Consider the following 20,104-nt stretch of genomic DNA (forward strand, 5'->3'; position numbering starts at 1 on the left):
ACTTCTGATTCATTAAAAACTTTTGTTTGTTATGTTACCTTTTGCTAACTGTAAAGTTAAAAATTTCAAGTCAGGGACTGTTTCTTCTGCTTTTGGTTCTATCTCAGGAATGTGGTAAGTAGAAGTGATGCTAAGAATTATGTCCAAAAGGTCACATCTGTTTTTGCAACTTAAATTTATTTTCTCAGAGTGGTTCTACAATTGAAGTTTTGTTTGTCAGACTGCTCACAAAAATCTGCTTACATAAGAATGTGCATTTAATATATCCTAAACAATATATATATCCTAAATGCTGTGCATAACAGTGCTTCTCTGGTTAAATGCATTCAAAGTTCTAACCCAGATGCCAACAGCTCAGAGCCTCTCTTGATAGAACACTCTTCCTGTCAAGGCTAAAATGAGAGCAGGAGAGGTTAGTTTCCATTTAACTCCCGGTAGCTGCAACAGACAAGCCTCACTCTATGTCAATGATTCTTCTGAGGTCCTGTTTTGAAGAACAAAAGCACAAAGGACAATCTGACCTATCTTGCTTTTTTCAGTGTTAACCGCAGTGTGGATAACTTCTAAATAAGTCAGTTTATAATTAAGCAGTGTGGTTAATGAAACAGGAAAAACAAACAGATCATTGGAACAGAACAAAGAGTTCAAAAATGAAACCATATATTAAAAAAAATCTGGTAACAAACAAAAACATAATTTAACATAACATAATCCAGTTCTTGGGGTAGAGAAGGCCTTCTTTAAAAAGACATCAAAAGAAAAAGCAGAAACAGACAAGAATGATCATTTTAATTATATCAGATTTTTACATTTCTGAATAAGAAAAGGTACTATGAACTATTTCAAAATAGCCAACAGCCTACGAAAAAGTATTTACAACCCAACAGCAAAGCATTAATATTCAGCATATAAACTAAACTCCTATAGATCAATAAGAAAATGACAACCCAATGGATCAATCGACAAAGAATGTAAACAGGCAAGTCACAAAAGAAGATATAATAAAGACCATTATGTCTATGAAATGATGTTCATCTCATTAATCAGGGAAAATGCAAATAACAAGAAAATCCAGCAACAACTGGGAAAAAACCAGTACTTCCACTAAAAACAACAACAACAACAACAACAACAACGACACGCAGCTATTTTGGGGGAATAATTAGGCAGTGTGTATTAAAAATAAAAACATACACTCTCTACTACCCAGCAATTATTCTTTTAAGAGAAATGCTTGCACAGAGTATGCAAAGAGGCTTGTACAAGAAACACTCTTTAGACTGGTGTTTATGATGGTGAAAAATTGAGACAACCTAAATATCCATTCATAGGGGAATGGCAAAATAAATGGGGGTATTTTGATATTATGTAACATGATGAAGCCATTAAAAGGAATGAGCCACAGGCTGGGTGCCGTGGCTCACGCCTGTAATCCCAGCACTTTGGGAGGCCGAGGCAGGTGGATCACGAGGTCAGGAGTTCGAGACCAGCCTGGCCAACATGGTGAAACCCTGTCTCTACTAATATACAAAAATTAGCTGGGCGTGGTGGTGGGTGCCTGTAATCCCAGCTACTCGGGAGGCTGAGGCAGGAGAATGGTGTGAACCCGGGAGGTGGAGGTTGCAGTGAGCCGAGATCGCACCATTGTACTCCGGCCTGGACAGGGCAAGACTCCATCTCGAAAAAAACAAAACAACAACAACAAAAAAGGAATGAGCCAGATCTATATGTATCAAAAATTCTAAGACAAATGCTTGAGTTGAAAAAACTAAGTTAGGCCGGGTGTGGTGGCTCACACCTGTAATCCCAGCACTTTGGGAGGCTGAGGCGGGTGGGTCACGAGGTCAGGAGATTGAGACCACCCTGGCTAACACAGTGAAACCCCGTCTCTACTAAAAATACAAAAAAAATTAGCTGGGCGTGGTGACGGGTGCCTGTAGTCCCAGCTACTTCGGAGGCTGAGGCAGAACCCAGGAGGTGGAGCTTGCAGTGAGCCAAGATCGCACCACTGCACTCCAGCCTGGGCAACAGAGTAAGACTCTGTCTCAAAAAAAAAAAAAAAAAAAAAAAAAGTTGCAGAACACATAGAGTGGTACCTTTTTTTAAACAATGAATTTAACTGTTACTCCCCGCTACCCCTCATACAATGGAGGCTACATCATGCTTGGAGCTTGTTGAAAAAAGACAGACGAGAGAAGATTACTTGTTCAAAACATTGAGCAGCCAAATACAGGAACTCCACCAAAGTAATGAATGAAAAAGAAAGCCTGGGCTGTGTTCTTTCCATTTCAGAATTGTATTTATTTCTCAATGGCAAGAGCTTTTGCTGTTATAAATTTATCGTGATTGGCTCTCACTAGCAATGACCAATAACTAAATAAAATAAATAATTGGCAAAAACGGAATTACAGCAGAAGATTTAGTTTTAAAGTTTTTTTTTTTTTTTTTTGAGACAGAGTCTTGCTCTGTTGCCTAGGCTGGAGTGCAGTCACGCCATCTCAGATCACTGCAACCTCCATCTCCCAAGTTCAAGCAATTCCACCGCCTGCCTCAGCCTCTGGAGTAGCTGGGGCTACAGGCATGAGCCACTACAGCCGGCTAATTTTCATATTTTTAGTAGAGACGGGGTTTGGCCATGTTGGCCAGGCTGGTCTTGAACTCCTGGCCTCAAGTGATTCACCCACCTCAGTCTCCCAAAGTGCTGGGATTACAGGCGTGAGCCGTGGAGCCGGGCCTCAAAGATCTTAACTGGCTTCATTTGCAATTCTAGAACTGGGCTTCATTCCAAAATGTTCTGGCCAGGCATGGTGGTGCACGCCTATAATCCCAGCACTTTGGGAGGCTGAGGCGGGAGGATCACTTGAATCCAGGAGTTCTAGACCAGTCTGGGCAACATAGGAAGACCCCTGTCTCTACCAAAAACAAAAAATGAGCTGGGTATGGTTGTGCATGCCTGTGGTGCAGGGTTTCTGTGGTCCCATCTACTCTGGAGGCTGAGGCAGTAGGCTGCAGTGGGCTGTGATCGTGTCACTGCACTCCAGTCTGAGTGACAGAGTGAGACTGTCTTAAAAAAAAAAAAAAAAGTTTTCCAACGAGCCCAGCAGAGGAGGTTGGTTTTGTAGACAGAGAAGGACTGAAAAAAGCAGAAGCAAAGAACAAAAAGCAGATTGGTTATTTCAAAGTTACTTTCCTTGAAAGATGAAAGATGAGAACAGGGAAACAGAACAACAGAGAAAAAACTGATTGCTTAACATCAGGTTACTTTAGGTTACTTTTTGTTGTCAGGATTAAAAGCAGAGGAAATTTCATTATTATGCTAAGTAAAACTAGCCTGTTTGGGAAATTTGGGTGTTATCTCTCTCCTGATTTCTCAGAAGGTCAGATAACAACTCGGTCTCAGTTTGGTAACTTGGAATTTAAGTATGAGGGACTCCATTTTGATATTTGGCCTGGTCTGTTGACCTAGTACAGGAGCTCAGTCAAAAACAAAATTATGAGTGCCTCAGAGTTATATGAGTGCCATCTCTACTAAAAATGGAAAAATTAGCCTGGCATGGTGGTGTCTGCCTGTAGTCCTAGCTACTCAGGAGGCTAGGTGAGAGGATCACCTGAGCCCAGGATGCGGAGGTTACAGTGCACTGACATCGCACCATACCACTGCACTGTAGCCTGGGCCACAGAATGAGACCCTGCCTCAAAAAAAAAAAAAAAACCAAAACCATGTATATATCTATATACAGATACATATATATACACATACACATACATATATGGATACATAATATATACATACACATATATATCCCTATGTTTTGTTTTAAATCTTCAGTGATTTAAAGCAAAACCTCAGGGGAAAAGAGGGTTGCACTGTTAGAAACTTCTGCTTTAAAAATGAGAACCAGAGATGAGGTAGCACACTCTGGTCACTCTGCCCATGGTGTGGAAGCAGGCAGCCGGAGTGGCGGAGTCCATGTGTATGAAAAACACAGGCAAGCATTAGCAGTTGGTTTCAGATGGATTCCAGACAGCAGGCTGTGAATGGACCAAAGAGGAAGCTGTGACCATGGGTAGGAAGTGCCTTGTTGAGGCCCTTGCTCTGCTGGGTCTGCTTTCTGGGCTTAAAACCCAACGGGTCCATATGCTGGTGTAATAGCAGGAGGAATCTTTTTGCAGAAGTCCCTTTGCATGAGGAGGAACCAGGGACTTTTCCAATATTTACCACATATTCTATGTAAGGTGTTACAATTACCACTCTTAGAAAGATCCATGTCTGCTTTCATTGTCTGCACCGCCAGGTGCCTCCTGGGGTGGAGAAAAATAGGGAACTATGTCTTTGCTGGGGGGTTGCTAGTTCTACTGAGGGGTGCTGGAGTTGTAGGTCTATAAGTGGAATTTAGCTTTAGGGTATAAATGAGCAAATTTGTCATCTTTCTAAATAAGACCTAGTTTAGGGATTACCCCAGAGGTTGGAGGTGGAGGAAGTAGTTGGCAACTTGCCCTGAAATCTAGAGGTTCACAATCTGCTGACATGGACTCCGCCACTCCAGCTCCCTGCTTCGACACCATGGGCAGAGTGACCAGAGTGTGCTACCTCATCTCTGGTTCTCATCTTTAAAGCAGAAGTTTCTAACAGTGCAACCCTCTTTCCTCTGAGGTTTTGCTTTAAACCACTGAAGATATGGGGAGTGAAAGCAGCAGGGGCTTTCTGATGTGGTCATTAATGCTAGTCAGAGGGAGGCCTTTAATCAGAAGGCTCAAGACAGATGGGTGGACCGGGCGCAGTGGTTCACACCTGTAATCTCAGCACTTTGGGAGGCCAGGGTGGCAGATCACCTGAACTCACTGTGGGGAAAAGAAAGAGAAATCAGACTGTTACTGTGTCTATGTAGAAAGAAGTAAACATAAGAGACTCCATTTTGTTCTGTACTAAGAAAAATTCTTCTGCCTTGAGATGCTGTTAATCTGTAACCCTACCCCCATCCCTGTGCTCGCAGAAACATGTGCTGTGTCGACTCAAGGTTTAATGGATTTAGGGCTATGCAGGATGTGCTTTGTTAAACAAATGCTTGAAGGCAGCATGCTTGTTAAAAGTCATCACCACTCCCTAATCTCAAGTACCCAGGGACACAAAACACTGTGGAAGGCCACAGGGACCTCTGCCTAGGAAAGCCAGGAATTGTCCAAGGTTTCTCCCCATGTGATAGTCTGAAATATGGCCTCATGGCAAGAGAAAGACCTGACCGTCCACCAGCCCGACACATGTAAAGGGTCTGTGCTGAGGAGGATTAGTAAAACAGGAAGGCCTCTTTGCAGTTGAGATAAGAGGAAGGCATCTGTCTCCTGCTCCTCCCTGGGCAATGGAATGTCTTGGTGTAAAACCCAGTTGTATATTCCATCTACTGAGATAGGAGAAAACCGCCTTAGGGCTGGAGATGAGACACGCTGGCGGCAATACTGCTCTTTAAGGCATTGAGATGTTTATGTATGTGCACATCAAAAGCACAGCACTTTTTTCTTAACCTTGTTTATGATACAGAGACATTTGTTCACATGTTTTCCTGCTGACCCTCTCCCCACTATTACCCTATTGTCCTGCCACATCCCCCTCTCTGAGATGGTAGAGATAATGATCAATAAATACTGAGGGAACTCAGAGACCGGAGCCGGCGCGCGTCCTCCTTATGCTGAGCGCCAGTCCCGTGGGCCCACTTTTCTTCTTCTATACTTTGTCTCTGTGTCTCTTTCTTTTCTCAAGTCTCTCGTTCCACCTGACGAGAAACGTTCACAGGTATGGAGGGGCAGGCCACCCCTTCACTCACAAGTTTGAGACCAGCCTGCTCAACATGGTGAAACCCCGTCTCTACTAAAAATACAAAAATTAGCCGAGCATAGTGGTGCACACCTGTAGTCCCAGCTACTTGGGAGGCTGAGGTAGGAGAATTTCTTGAATCTGGGAGGCGGAGGCTGTAGTGAGCTGAGATTGCACCACTGTACTCCAGCCTGGGCGACAGAGTAAGAATCTGTCTATTTAAAAAAAAAAGGCAGATGCGGGGGCATCTGCCCCAGAAGAAAGTGATTAGGAGGCTTACCCCCGCCCCCTTGCCTATGGTCACCTAGCTTCCTTGAAAATAATGTAATCGGCATCTTTGTGTATGTACATTTTTAATGTTATCAGACTTTCTTAGTGAAATGCAACCAAACCAAGCACATATTTACTTTAAAATTCCATTGAAAACCAGGTATTTAAATTGATTTTAAGAACCTTGTTAAGGAAATCAGCCTGGCTAAGGAAAATTAGTACTGCATTTTAAAAGAGTTAAGCAGATCTAACAAGACTCTAAGCTACTCTTGGACAGCTCTGCTTAGTGTCTGAGCCACCTTCCCTCAAGAACTTTGTTGAAGAGTGTTGAACGACCTTTTTGGAAGCCTTCTACTTGCAACATGAATTAAACAGCAGTTACGATCACTGGGATTAATAATGTGATGTCTGGAGCAGGTAACCCGGAATTATTAATATTATCTCTCTGTCATCTTTTTCTTTTCTTTTTGGAGGGGAGGGGGACAGGATGTCACTCTGTCACCCAGGCTAGGGTGCAGTGATGTGATCATATCTCACTGTAACCTTGAACTTCTGGGCTCAAGTGATCCTTCTGCCTCAGCCTCCAGAGTAGCTGGGACTATAGGCATGTGCCACCACACCCAGCTACTTTTTAAACTTTTTGTAGAAATGGAGTCTCGCTCTGCTGCCCAGGCTGGTCTCAAACTCCTGGGTTCAAGTGAGCCTCCCACCTTGGCCTCCCAGAGCACTGGGATTACAGGCATGAGCCAGTGTCCAGTCTTGTCATTGTTTTCCTTTTTCTTTCTTTTTTTTCTTCAGAGAGGGGGGTCTCACTTTGTTGCCAGGCTGGACTCTCAAACTTCTGGGCTCAAGTGATCCTCCCACCTCAGCCTCCTGAGTAGCTGTGACCACTGGCACGCGCCACTACACCCACCTCTCTGCCATCTTACACGAGAGAGCATGTCTTAGGCTGAGTGCAGTGGCTCATGCCTGTAATCCCAGCACTTTGGGAGGCCGAGGCAGGCAGATCACCTGAGGTCGCGAGTTTGAGACCAGCTTGACCAACACGGAGAAACCCCATCTCTACTAAAAGTACAAAATTAGCCGGGTGTGGTGGCGCCTGCTTGTAATCCCAGCTACTGGGGAGGTTGAGGCAGGAGAATCACTTGAATCTGGGAGGCGGGGGTTGCGGTGAGCCAAGACGGTGCCACTGCACTCCAGCCTGGGCAACAAGAGCGAAACTCCATCTTAAAAAAAAAAAAAGAGAGCACGTCTTGAGCCACCGCTTGCTACTAAGTTTCTGGGACTTGAGAAGACAGGAGAGAGCAATATTTATTTCTCAATGTCCAGAGGGAAGTTACAAAATTTCAGTCGTATGATAAATGCTGAAGTACTTAATGCAATAAAGTCCTTCCCTATCAGAAGCTACACACACCCATGGTGGGGATAAGTTTCTGCTGAGGATTAATAGTGAAAACAGGTCTCCCTTTCAGGGTAGGAACACAGAACCATGCCTCATGTCTCCCCGTAGCTTTTAAGAGGAAGCACAATGGTTCAGAAACGCCCTTCCTTTCACCCTCACATGCAAAATGACCACTTGTTGCTTGAGAGTGTGGCTCACCTCATTGTCCTGGTGATTAATCTCGCTGATGTTCGACTGTTGCAACAGGACCGTGAGGAGCCTGTAAGGAAAAAATAGGAGAAATGGCTCAAAATAACAGGCAGTCACGGTGCTCTTGGAATCGGTATAAAAACATGACCTTAGAAAAACCGTCAGTTGAAAGACTCCAAATGAAGATGAGGGCCCTTTCCGTTTCTCTGGGAAAAAGATCCACAGAAAAGAAGCAAGAGTGTGATAGGTTAGAAGACACCTGTGTGGAGGGCTACTGTCTGCCTCTCCCACCCTCTCTTCATCTCAGCACTCCCGAGGGGCACAAGGGGATGGAGAAACTTTAGGCTCATTGTGTTCACCAGGCCTCTGTCTCCTAGCCATGCCCTTTAAGATCCAAAATCATGTAGCAATTATTATTATGATTTTTTTCTTTGAGATGGAGTCTCGCTCTGTTGCCCAGGCTCGAGTGCAGTGGCACGAACTTGGCTCACTGCAAGCTCCGCCTCCCGGATTAGCACCATCCTCCTGCCTCAGCCTCCCGAGTAGCTGGGACTACAGGCGCCCCGCACCACGCCCTGCTAATTTTTTCTATTTTTTAGTAGAGACGGGGTTTCACCGTGTTAGCCAGGATGGTCTGGATCTCCTGACCTCGTGGTCCGCCCGCCTAAGCCTCCCAAAGTGCTGGGATTACAAGTGTGAGCCACCGTGCCCGGCCACTTATTCTTTATTCTTTATACACACATGCCTAAGCACAAGATTCACTTTATAGAAACTTACAGAGTGCTTTCGACCTGCTTCACTCCTAGCTGCATATGTCATGCCTTTTTAATGCATAGATTATACCAGGAGGTTGTCAGTATTTGCAAGTTTGCTCATTCTTTGTAAAATACACACATGCCTAAGCACAAGATGACAGTAATCAGTGTAAAACAGCTATCAATGATTCTCAGATTCAGGCTCTTACCTGACTTGGATCTCCTGCTCAGTTGACTGAAGTCAACGCTCCATCTGGGAGAGGGGGGCAGCCGAGCATAGTGGAGAGGGGCCCGGGCTCTGCAGCCAGATGGCTTGGGTTTACATCCCAGCCCTGCCACTGATGAGCTCTGTGACCTCAGGCAAGTTACTTACCTTCTTCCTGCCTAAACTTCCTCATCTGTGAGATAGGAGTGATAAAAACTACCTATCACACAGCTCAGTGTGAGGATTAAATGAGTTAATATGCATACAACATATAGAGCATGCCTGGAACATGCTGTTATTTCTAGAGTGCTTAACCCCAGAAGTTTGGACCCTGGCTCCATCTCAGAATTGCCTGGAGAGATTTTTTTTTTTTTTAAACCACAAATACCTGGACTCTGTACTCAGGGTTTCTAACTCAGTAGGTCTGGAGAAGCCCAGCTTCTACTGTTTAAAAAAAGCTATTCAGGAAATTATGGTAAACAGCCAGGCTTGGAAACAATTGAGAAAGGTGCTGAAAGAATTAATCAATGGATACTCATCAAGATGATAAAGAATAGTGTATGGGCAGTCAATGGAGGAAATTCAGAAATTGCTTTTGGAAGAATTATTTGTAAAATGAAATTGTTTAGTCTCTTCTCCAATCAAATCTTTATCGTCTCTCAGATTGGAAGACATCTAAAGCCCTAAGTATTAAATTGTTACTTGCAATAGAAGAAAAGAAAGATCCACTAATCATATTGCCTTAGCAGTAAATGTAATACACAGAGAGCTTAAATAGAGATGGACTTCTGGTTATTTGCGGTGGAGGTGAAATAACCAGGAAGCCTGTGGTTTCAATCTTGTTGTATCATAGTCTTTTGGGGAGCCAGGATAATGCTGAGGTTTAATTCTGACCTCACTACTGCACGATCTGAGTTTCTGTATCTTCATGTATATCAGAGGGGTAGTAACGCAGTGGTGTAAAGGATTGAGTGATCCAACAGGCAGAAAGACCCTGGGTCACATACACTAAAGGGACAATGGCTATGACTGCATACAGTACATCTCTTTTATGCTCTCTGAATTCTAGATGTAGCCTTTGGTAGGAAGACATATAAAAATAATTGCATTTTGGGTCACACAATTTTTATCTTTGCAATTATTTCACCACTGGATATATTTCCCTGTGGCTGCTTTGTGAGTGGGGGCAGGGCTTACCTTGTGACTGTGCTTCTCCTTTCTTTCTTTCCTTTCTGTCTTCTCTGGCTCATTATTGGCCATTGTTTACTCTCTAGGGCCCATTTGGTCTGAGGGACTGGGGGAGGAGGGAAGGGCAAGGCAGGAGGTCAGCTGTGGTCCAGTGTGGTTATCCTTGGTTACTCCTGAGCAGACAGAGATTATCTGTAGCCAGACAGGATCTTCTGGGGCTCTAACCAGATTAGAATGGGGGTAGGGAGAGCAGGACCTCTTGTCATATCCTGGGTGGCCTCCCAAGGTTGTGGGATGAACCGTGTGCCTAGATAGTTCTCTATTTGGCTTTCAAAGCCATTCTCTTCTTTATACTGCCCTGCTCTGAGGCTGACTTCTAGGGACCGCATCAACCAGGCTCCCTTGCCCTTGGCTTCCTATCGGGTTTTGCCGATGGGGGAACTGGCAGGAGGAGGGAGAGAAGCCAGCTCCCTTTCTGGCAATAATTGTATTTCTCTACCAAAGGCCTCAGTTCTTGCCAGGTGGCCCCTCTCCTACAGCTAAGCTACCACTGCAGCTCTCAGAAGTTTCCAGTAACAGCCCCTTCCTTGCCCCTTTAGGTCTAGAAAGTGATAACATTTTCCTGCTCTTTTGGGGAAAGTGGGGGTGGGGTAGGGGGTTAGAACATCAACCATCATCTCTTGTTGGTCAATTTTTGGTCAATTTTTTTTTTTTTTGAGACAAGCTCTCACTCTGTCACCCAGGCTGGAGTGCAGTGGCACAATCACAGTTCACTGCAACCTGGACTTCCTGGGCTGAAGCGATTCATCCTCCTGCCTCAGTCTTCAGAGTAGTTTGCACTACAGGTGTGCACCATCACGCCCAACTAATTTTTTAGTGTTTTTAGTAGAGATGGGGTTTCACTATATTGCCCAGGCTGGTCTTGAACTCCTGAACTCAAACGATCCTCAGCCGCCCGAAGTGCTGGGATTACAGGCGTGAATCACCCTATCCAGCCTTGTTGGTCAAGTTTAAATAGTCTTTCCCTAGACTTTCTCCAGTTGCCACCCTTTAATTCCCATGTCTTCTCTGTCATGGCTGTGACTGATATGTGATGATCTATGTGGCCCAACTCCACTTGACTGTGAAGTCTCTGAGATCCATTGATCGTCAAAGCTGGACACAAATAGACAGATCAAGGCCCTCTCCTGCATTCTTGCCCTCACTCTGGCTCTGGCTGTCTCTCATATGTTGTGAGAACAAAGAACCTGAGGCCCTTCCTGGCTTGCCAAGACCACCATACAGTGGCTCAGTGATACAGCCTGAACCAGAAACCAGGTGTCTCATTGCCAGCCTGGGACTTCCTTGCTGTTCTGTGGTATGGAGGTGACCTGCGAGATACTTGTCCAGCATCTATGTCAATTCCTAGATGATTTGCAGCCCTCTGTTGTGCTTCCCCCGAGCTCTCATTTTGTGTTACCATGGCCCAGGAGTCATTCTACACCCCCATCAGCCAAGTTCAGACTCCCTCCTGTCCTCGGATCTCTGAGTAAGTGATGTAAGACCCATCTCATCTCAGGTGCCAGTACAGCAGGCTTGGACCCCAGCAAGAGCAGTCCCAGACAGGTGGTGTGTTGAGTCATAAGAGCACTGATGCTGGGGCCAGACTGCCACTGTTAGAATCCCTGCTCCATACCAACCAGCCAGTGACCTTGGGCGAGCTCCCAGTGCCTACATTTTCTTATCCATAAAATGCAGAGAATAATACCTACTTCCTCAGGATCTGTCATGACTTTGACTCCATGCACACAAAGCACTTGGAATAGCCCTTACATGCCATAATAAAGTTTTATATGGCCAGGTGCGCTGGCTCACGCCTGCCTGTAATCCCAGCACTTTGGGAGACCAAGGTGGGCAGATCACCTGAAGTCAAGAGTTTGAGACCAGCCTGGCTAACATGGTGAAACCCCGTCTGTAATAGAAATAGAAAAATTAGCCAGGCATGATGGTGGGCACCTGTAATTCCAGCTACTAGGGAGGCTGAGGTCGGAGAATTGCTTCAATCTGGGAGGTGGAGGTTGCAGTGAGCCGAGATTATGCCACTGCACTCTAGCCTGGGCAACAGAGCTTGAGACTCTGTCTCAAAACAAACAAAAAACAAACAAAAAATTCTATAAAATGATTAATTTTTTAATAGCTCCTACCTTCTATTTTCTGGGTCTCCACTGATTATCATTAGGTGAATGGTGGGTCTCAGAGAAGGATCAGCTAGAAGCATCCTGGGGACAACTCATCCCTATGAGCTTTCCTGTTTCGCTGGCCCCTCTGAATGTTCCCAGCCCTGGAGCTGGCCAGCGCAGTGACAGGTGGGAAAAAATGGTCCCACAACCAGCCGTCTCCCCTTCCTGTCCCTGGAGCTGCCTGTATTAGAGTGTGCTGCAGTGAGACAAACACTGCAGGTCAGAACACACCACCTGGTAACTAGAGAACAGGACCCCAAGGAAATGATTTTCTTCCTCCCTTGGGCTGCAGTCAAGAGTGATGAAAAGAGGCAGAGTGGCTGGCACTCTGACAGGGAGGAAAAAAAGTCTGCCAGTAGCCATGGAGACCATGAAAAAGACCTTCAGAGAGCCCCGTGGCTGCTTTCAGAGAAAATTGCTGCTTGCCTTCCAACACTAGCATGTGCAGCGTTGTACAAACACAACTCTGTTCTCTTTGGAGCTTTGTTTTAATGATCATGCCCCCTCTTTCACACCAGCGCCCTCTGAATGTCCCAGCCAAGGAAGCAAGAAAAGCCTTGGGGAGCTGAAAGGGGGAAAACTTGGACCTGCTGAGAAGCAGAGGGTTCAAAGTAGGAAGGGGAATCATGAGAGGAAACCTGTGCATCTTTGCTTTTGTAAACCCAGTGTGCCTTCACGTTCATGATTATAAATCACTTATCCCTGCATCAGCCTCCATCCCCATTGAGCGGGTGTTTAGTTAAGGATGCAGATTCATACTGTTTGGTTTGTTCAGGAGTTGTTTCCATCTGAGCACTAAAATCCCTCTGGAGGCAAAGGACTAATTGAAGCGTCCCTTAGCTTGTTTATAAGCAGCTTCGGTTTGAGGCTTCTCTCTGAATAACCTCCAGTGAGCACCAAATAGAAGGAGCTTGCTGTTTGGAAATCTAAGTGTTAGCAGATTTTAAATCAGTATAAAAACCTGAGCACAAGGGCACTATGTGGCCTGTACATACTGTTTATGATTAGGGGAAAATGCAGACATATGCCAGTTTACAAAGGTGTGCATAGATCCACACAAACAACACACCCCAACAACCATTGCAGTAAACCTGTGTGCCCGGCAGTAGGATGTAGGACTGCATTTACATGGGCCTGTGTCTGTGCACACATTTTTGTGGACCTGAGTGTGCTGAGGTGAAGAAGGCCAGGATGAGCACCAGTGGGGTGGCAGTAGTAGTGTTTCATTCCTTAGCTTCTTATAATGTTTATGGTGTTTCTTTCTATCTTCCATCATCATCATCATTGATGACCATCAACATTATCATATCATCACGCCATCATCATCACCATGTTCACTTTCTGAACACGGACAATGTACTAGGTGCTGAGTTCAGCGTTTCCACACATTTTCTCCTTTACTTCTGCCTACTTCCCTGTGAAGTAAGCAGGAATAATATATTTAATAGTACTTACTTCGCCAGGTGTGGTGGCTCACTCTTGTAATCCCAGCACTTTGGGAGGCTGAGGTGGGCGGATCACCTGAGGTTGGGAGTTCGAGACCAGCCTGACCAACATGGAGAAACCCCATCTCTACTAAAAATACAAAATTTTCCGGGCATGGTGGTGCGTGTCTGTAATCCCAGCTACTCGGGAGGCTGAGGCAGGAGAATTGCTTGAACCCAGGAGGCGCAGTTTGTGGTAAGCCAAGATTACGCCTTTACGCTCCAGCCTGGGCAACAAGAGTGAAACTCTGTCTCAAAAAAAAAAATAGTACTTATTTCAAGGGGAAGCTGAGCCTTGACATGTTAACTTGCCCAAGAGAATAAGAGCTGGAGCCAGATTTAAACTCAGTCAGTCTGACTCATACTCATGAGCTGGCACTCCTGGCCACCCTTCAGGGATCTTTCTTTTCTTTTTCTTTCTTTCTTTCTTTCTTTCTTTCTTTCTTTCTTTCTTTCTTTCTTTCTTTCTTTCTTTCTTTCTTCTTTCCTTCCTTCCTTCCTTCCTTCCTTCCTTCCTTCCTTCCTTCTCTCTCTCTCTCTCTCTTTCTTTCTTTCTTTCTCTCTATCTTTCTCTCTTTCTTTCCTTCCTTCCTTCCTTCCTTCCTTCGGGTCTTGTGCTGTCGCCCAGGTTGGATTACAGTGGCACGATCATAGCTCACCGCAGCCTCGAACTCCTGGGCTCAAGCAATCTTCCAGTCTCAGCCTCCTGAATAGGTAGGACTACAGGAGCACACCACTATGCCTGGCTACTTTTTTAAAAAAATCATTTTTAGAAATGAGGCCTCATTATGTTGCCTAAGCTGGTCTTGAACTCCTGGCCTCAAGTTATCCTCCTGCCTCTGTCTCCCAAAGCACTAGGATTACAGGTGTGAGCCACAATGCCTGGCCCCTTCAGGGATTTTAGATTGTTTTCAGACAAATATGGTGAAATAAGATAACGAGTGAAGAAACAAGACAAAGAGAAAACACGGGCAGGAAAAAAAAAGACATGATCTATAGTCCTACATGTATGCCAGAGGTGGGACACAAATTGAGTTTTGAATTTTCTAAATATATAAAGAAAGAAACATGCTCTGAAGTCACAGTGTCTGTATAGTAAAATTAAAAAAAATGATTTATCAGGAGCAGCATAGCAATTCCTTCTTCAGTAGAAATATTTCTTGTGGTTTCTCATATAGAATTTTTCGGAGGTGCTAATGAATCATGAGCCAGGAAGTTTTGTAAGACTGTTTCTTATAAGGCTTCTCAACGGAGACCAAGGGCTTAATGTCAAAATATGGCCATTAAAATAAATTCGGTTTCTACTTTAAACATTTAATGCAGATGTATCAAACTCTGCCATGGACCTAAAATTTCTCAAACAACTATAAAATATGTAATTTTAACAATGTAATTCCATAGGGAATCCTTTAGGGTGGACTAGTTTCCAATATTCTGTAGGTAACCAAACTACAGTCATGCATCATTTAATGATGGGAATACTTTCTGAGAAATGTGTCGTTTGGCGATTTCATCATTGTGTGGACATCATAGAGTGTATTACACAAACCTAGATGGTAGAGCGTACTACACACCTATGCTATATGGTAGAGCCTATTGCTTCTAGGCTACAAATATGCACAGCATGTGACTGTACTAGACACTGTAGGCAATTGTAACACAGTGGTAAGTATTTATGTATCTAAACATAGAAAAGGTACAGTAAAAATATGATATAATCATCTTATGGGACCATCATTACACATGCAGTCTGCCATTAACTGAAATGTCATTATGCAGCGTGTGACTCTATTTGATTTGCTGTATGGTTGTTAGGACTTAACCCAATTAATCTTTGGAGAGCATTTACCAGAAATAACAATTTTGGTTTTGGAATAGTCAATCTTAACTTTTTGGGATTATTAGTTAAAGCAGCTAGCATTGCCATAACTAAAGCAGAATTTTATCTTTCAGAATCAGTTAAGGGCTTTTTGGACAATATAACTAACTACGTCATCTGCACACAGAAGGATGTTTATTTTTCTTATTTCAACTCATCCAAGGGTGGTGGCTGGGCTGTTAGGTACAGTTTCAAGAGAGGGGAAGCCACAACTCTCTGCTCTCCTAGTTATAGCAACTTAATGTAGATCCTCAAGAGTCGAGGAGTACTGATAAGCATAATAAGAAATAGAAACACAAGTCCACAAAGAGGAAGTACACTTGGGTTGATTTTCAATTTATTATTGCAGTGATTTCAGAGAATGAACCTAATCAACTGATCCAATTGACATTGAATGTAATTTTGACTGACAAGGCTTAGTTTACCCCTTAGGTGCAATGGGTTAAGAACAGAGACAGAGAGCTTTTCACCAAAATCCATGTTCCCCTTTCTTGGATTGGAGGCATTGTTGGGAGGTAGATTCCTGGCTAGAAACTATATTCCCCAGAGCACCTTATAACCAGATGTGGTTGTATGACTAGTCCTTATTGATGGAATATGAGCAGAAATGAATTGTGTCATTTGCAGGCTGAGGTTTTAAAGAACTGAGTGTGGCTTCTCTATAGGGTAGTCCCTGCTTAATCTGCGGTTTCGCTTTCCATTATTTCAGTTACCCACAGTTCACTGTGGTTCAAAAACATTCAATGAAAAATTCCAGAAATAAACAATTCATGTTTTAAATTGTGCGGCATTCTGAGTAGAATGATGAAATCTGCCGCTAACTACACTCCGCTCTCATTAGTCACTTAGGAGACAGCTCGGTTAACAAATCAGCTGTCCCCGTATCGCAGCACTGTGTTCACATTACTCTTATTTTACTTAGCAGTGGCCCCAAAGTGCAAGAGTAGTGATACTGGCATATTGTTATAATTGTTCTATTTTATTATTATTGTTGTTAATCTCTTACTGCGCCTAATTTGTACGCTAAATTTTATAGGTATGTATGTAGAGGAAAAAAACATAGCATATATGGACTTTGGTACTATCTGAGGTTTCAGACATCGATGTGGGTCTTGGAACATATCCCCTCCAGGGTGAGGGGAGACTACTGTTCTCCTCTTTCCCCATCTGCAGGCTGAATGAAGGGCATTCTGTGCTCTTAGGGGATGAAGGTGCTACAGAATGGAAGAAGCTTGGGTCCCTGAATTGCCATGTGGCAGGGAGCCACCTACCACCCCCCTACATTGGATGGTTACATGTCTGATAAACTTTTTGTTTTTTTGAGACGAAGTCTCACTTTGTCGCCCAGCCTGGAGTGCAGTGGTGCAAACTCAGCTCACTGCAACCTCCGCCTCCTGGGTTCAAGTGATTCTCCTGCTTCAGCCTCCTGAGTAGCTGGGCTTACAGGCACTCACCACCACATCTGGCTAATTTTTGTATTTTTAGTACAGGTGGGGTTTTGCCATGTTGACCAGGCTGGTCTTGAACTCCTCACCTCAGGTTATCCATCTGCCTCGGCCTCCCAAAGTGCTGGGATTACAGGTGTGAGCCATGGCACCTGGCCAGAAATAATTTTTATTGTGTTAAAACACTGAAGCTTTGGATTTTATGTGTTACAACAGCCATAATTACCATAACTTAAATGGGCTCTTTTAATCTTCCAGAATCAGTTAATAGGTTTTGAAATGACCACTCTGAGTGAGGCAAGTAAAAGCAATTACGTAGAGTAAATTAAGACAGAAGAAACAGAAAAGGTACATTTTAAAGTTATTTTCTAAAGACCACTCTTGGGAAAACAGTATGATTTTGTGACTAAGCATTTTTGTGGGGTCATTCTTTTTTTTTTTTTTCCTAATTCATCAAGAGGGAGTCATCCCCTCACGATGTCTATTGATTGTTAACTGTCTGGGTTTGCTGTTCCTTTTCTAAACATCCTTGTTTTGTTGGGCTTTGGGTAAATCCTAGTTTTCTGTTATTTCTGGACATAGTCCAATATAATAAGAGTCAAGCCTTGGGAATAGTCCTGGAATTTCCCAGGACCTTTTATTTTACTGTAAAAGAGATTGAAGTAAAGAAATCTTGTTATTCCTCAGCCTGGAAGATTATGGCCTTGGGCTCCTCAACCCAGACAGGGCTTCAGGTTTTAGTTCTGGACACAGAGTTGAGAGGGTGAAGTATATAGAATATACTCCTTGTGCTGCTGGCCTATGACCTAGGCTTGGAAATGCTCAATTCCTGTCAGAGGCATGTTCTGCACAGCAGAAAGGGTCCACCATGTTACTGATTCCATAGTAGAAATGCTGTTAGCAACTGCTCTGAGGGGCTTTCTAAAGAATGGGGACCGAGGCCATGTAGACACAGAGGAATGGAGAAGCTACCCTTGGTATGGACAAAACCTTTTCCTTCATTGCTCAGTTATCTTACAAAAAGGTGGCCTTCTTGATCATCCAATTTACTTCAGTGTATTTCTTCACAGGGCTTCTAGGAGCACACACTTCTGGTTTCCTTCTAACCCCCTGATCTCCCTGCTGCTGACTCCTTTGCCTCCTCCCAGCTCCTAGAGGCTGGCATGGCCCTGGGTTTAGACATTAACCTTTCTGCCCAGTCACTGCTCTTTTGCCCTATTTAATTTTCTTCATAGCCCTCATCACTATTAGAAATGATCTTATTTATTTGTTAACTGGTATGCTTAAGAGCTTCACTAGAATATAAGCTCTGTGACATCAGAGACTCTGTTTTATTTACTGTAGAATTTCAAAGGACTAGAACAGTCCTTGGTCCATAACATGTGCTCGAAAAATAGTTGTTGAATGCATAATTGACTGACTGATTAATGGAATGAATGAATATATGAATTCTGATAATGACAAACAGCATGTCTTCTTAAAGATTAGGAGACAAAACTTTTATCAAAGTAGGAGGAGAGAATTTGAAATTATTCTAGAATATTTTGTTGTGGTCCTATCTGCTGCAACTTCAAAAAAAAAAAAAGATGGTTTTCTTTTTCTTTTTTTATCAGCCACAGAGGGATGGATTAGATGACCTTCTCATACAAGTTGAGTCACTCCCAACTTGAGCATCATGTAAACCTGGCCACTTACCTCATATCGGGCTCAGCAGTGGCAGCATGCAGTGGCAGGCGGCCATTTTTATCTGGGATATTGTGCTTGGCACCGTTTCTGAGTAGACTCACACAGCCTTCAAGCCAGCCCTGAAATACAAGAGCAACCACATCATTATATAACAGAAGCTCACGTAACATGGTCCAACAAACTTTCTCTAGATTTTTTTCCCTTTCTCTGGTTTGGTTAAAAACATATTTTATTTGACTTGAAGTGGTTAAGAACCACAACTCCATCTTAGATGCCTCAACAGATGGCCGAAGGTCTTGAAGTACAGATTCCCAGGTTTATGAGAGGACCTTTCCCCTTTAGATGCAGACTGACCTTAGAATCTCTCCATCTCCCCCTCCCCATTTCTAGGGCCACTCACTGGTATTACATGTATAAGCTCAGACACATGATAAATGGGCCTTGGTCTTCTATTGCAAGCTCCTTTTCTAGTAACCACAAGGACAGCACCTTGCTTATTCAGGTCAGTCCCCCTCCCAGTGCCTAGCAGTCTAACCTGAGCTCCACTGCAATGGCTGGGACCCTGCCACCTTGTTGACTGATCTTTCTGATGCTGAAAGCTTGAATTCCTAAATATAAGGCATCACCAGCACCTTCCAAAGGTTTCCCATTGCTATGTTTTATCCACCTGTAAAGTCCTCAAGAAACTTTACGTGAACTGCTGAAACCTGCTGTCTACAGTTGTCTAGATTGAGACCTGATATGGCCACATCTCATGCTTGTCTCCTCCTCGGTCAACATTTACTGCTGGGTCATCTTCTCATTGTCTTTCCCATTTCAAAGGGCAGGTATAACTTCAGGCTAGCCCTCCCTCCCATGCTACTTTAACTGACCCATACCTATTGATAACCAAGTTTGGCTCGCATGCTAAAGAGGATGTCTCCTACGTTCATCCAGAATGGCTTGGGTTATTTGCCCAATTATAAGTATACTTAAAAATAGATGAAATTATTATTATGAAGAATAATAGGATAACCCTCTATTTTGTTCAGAAGCAGGCTTCCCACCTTCCTACATTCGCGTCTAGGTAAACCTCAAAATTATCCAGTAAAATGAGAAAGATGACTGAAGATTTTTCCTCCTTATACTGAAAGCAATAAAAATCAAAATGTTGTCTGGGCAGGGTGGCTCACGCCTGTAATCCCAGCACTTTGGGAGGCTGAGGTGGGTGGATCACGAGGTCAGGAGATCGAGACCATCCTGGCTAACAAGGTTGAAACCCCATCTCTACCAAAAATACAAAAAATTAGCTGGGAATGGTGGCGGGTGCCTGTAGTCCCAGCTACTCGGGAGGCTGAGGCAGGAGAATGGCGTGAACCCGGGAGGCAGAGCTGGCAGTGAGCCGAGATCGCGCCACTGCACTCCAACCTGGGCGACAGAACGAGACTCTGTCTCAAGAAAAAAAAAAAAAAATCAAAATGTTAATAAATGCATGGAGAAGAAGGAAGATAATGATAAGAAAAGAACCTTTTGGTTTTGAAAAGTCTGGAAGGAAAATCAACAAAAATGCATCAAAATTCAGAGTATAAATATT

The 20,104-nt window shown here is 43.8% G+C and overlaps 1 protein-coding gene across 2 annotated transcripts in view, besides 3 other annotated features; it reads right to left on the reverse strand.

The window, feature by feature from the left end:
* ANKRD55 (ankyrin repeat domain 55) overlaps window positions 1-20,104 on the reverse strand; it is a 133,651-nt gene that overhangs the window by 52,474 nt on the left and 61,073 nt on the right. The window contains exons 5-6 of one of the 2 annotated variants that reach the window (NM_024669.3): window positions 18,541-18,650; window positions 7,680-7,740 (exon numbers count right to left, since the gene is read on the reverse strand). In NM_024669.3, the coding sequence (NP_078945.2) occupies window positions 7,680-7,740; window positions 18,541-18,650 (171 nt within the window). Of the gene's footprint in view, window positions 1-7,679; window positions 7,741-8,634; window positions 8,778-18,540; window positions 18,651-20,104 lie in introns of those variants that run through there. The other variant, XM_047417710.1, reaches the window with a different exon arrangement.
* Window positions 4,565-4,734: a silencer, noted in NCBI's record as "silent region_16019". NCBI's record gives its function as "represses an Ori minimal core promoter by ATAC-STARR-seq in GM12878 lymphoblastoid cells {active_cell/tissue: GM12878}" and the evidence as "EXISTENCE:reporter gene assay evidence [ECO:0000049][PMID:35858748]".
* Window positions 4,725-5,520: an enhancer, noted in NCBI's record as "OCT4-NANOG-H3K27ac-H3K4me1 hESC enhancer chr5:55452705-55453500 (GRCh37/hg19 assembly coordinates)". NCBI's record gives its function as "activates a minimal SCP1, AML or CMV promoter by ChIP-STARR-seq in naive H9 embryonic stem cells {active_cell/tissue: H9 hESC(naive)}" and the evidence as "EXISTENCE:reporter gene assay evidence [ECO:0000049][PMID:30033119]".
* Window positions 7,911-8,706: an enhancer, noted in NCBI's record as "H3K27ac-H3K4me1 hESC enhancer chr5:55455891-55456686 (GRCh37/hg19 assembly coordinates)". NCBI's record gives its function as "activates a minimal SCP1, AML or CMV promoter by ChIP-STARR-seq in primed H9 embryonic stem cells {active_cell/tissue: H9 hESC(primed)}" and the evidence as "EXISTENCE:reporter gene assay evidence [ECO:0000049][PMID:30033119]".

Source organism: Homo sapiens, chromosome 5 (genome assembly GCF_000001405.40).
Source record: "Homo sapiens chromosome 5, GRCh38.p14 Primary Assembly".
NCBI classification, from domain to species: Eukaryota; Metazoa; Chordata; class Mammalia; order Primates; family Hominidae; genus Homo; species Homo sapiens.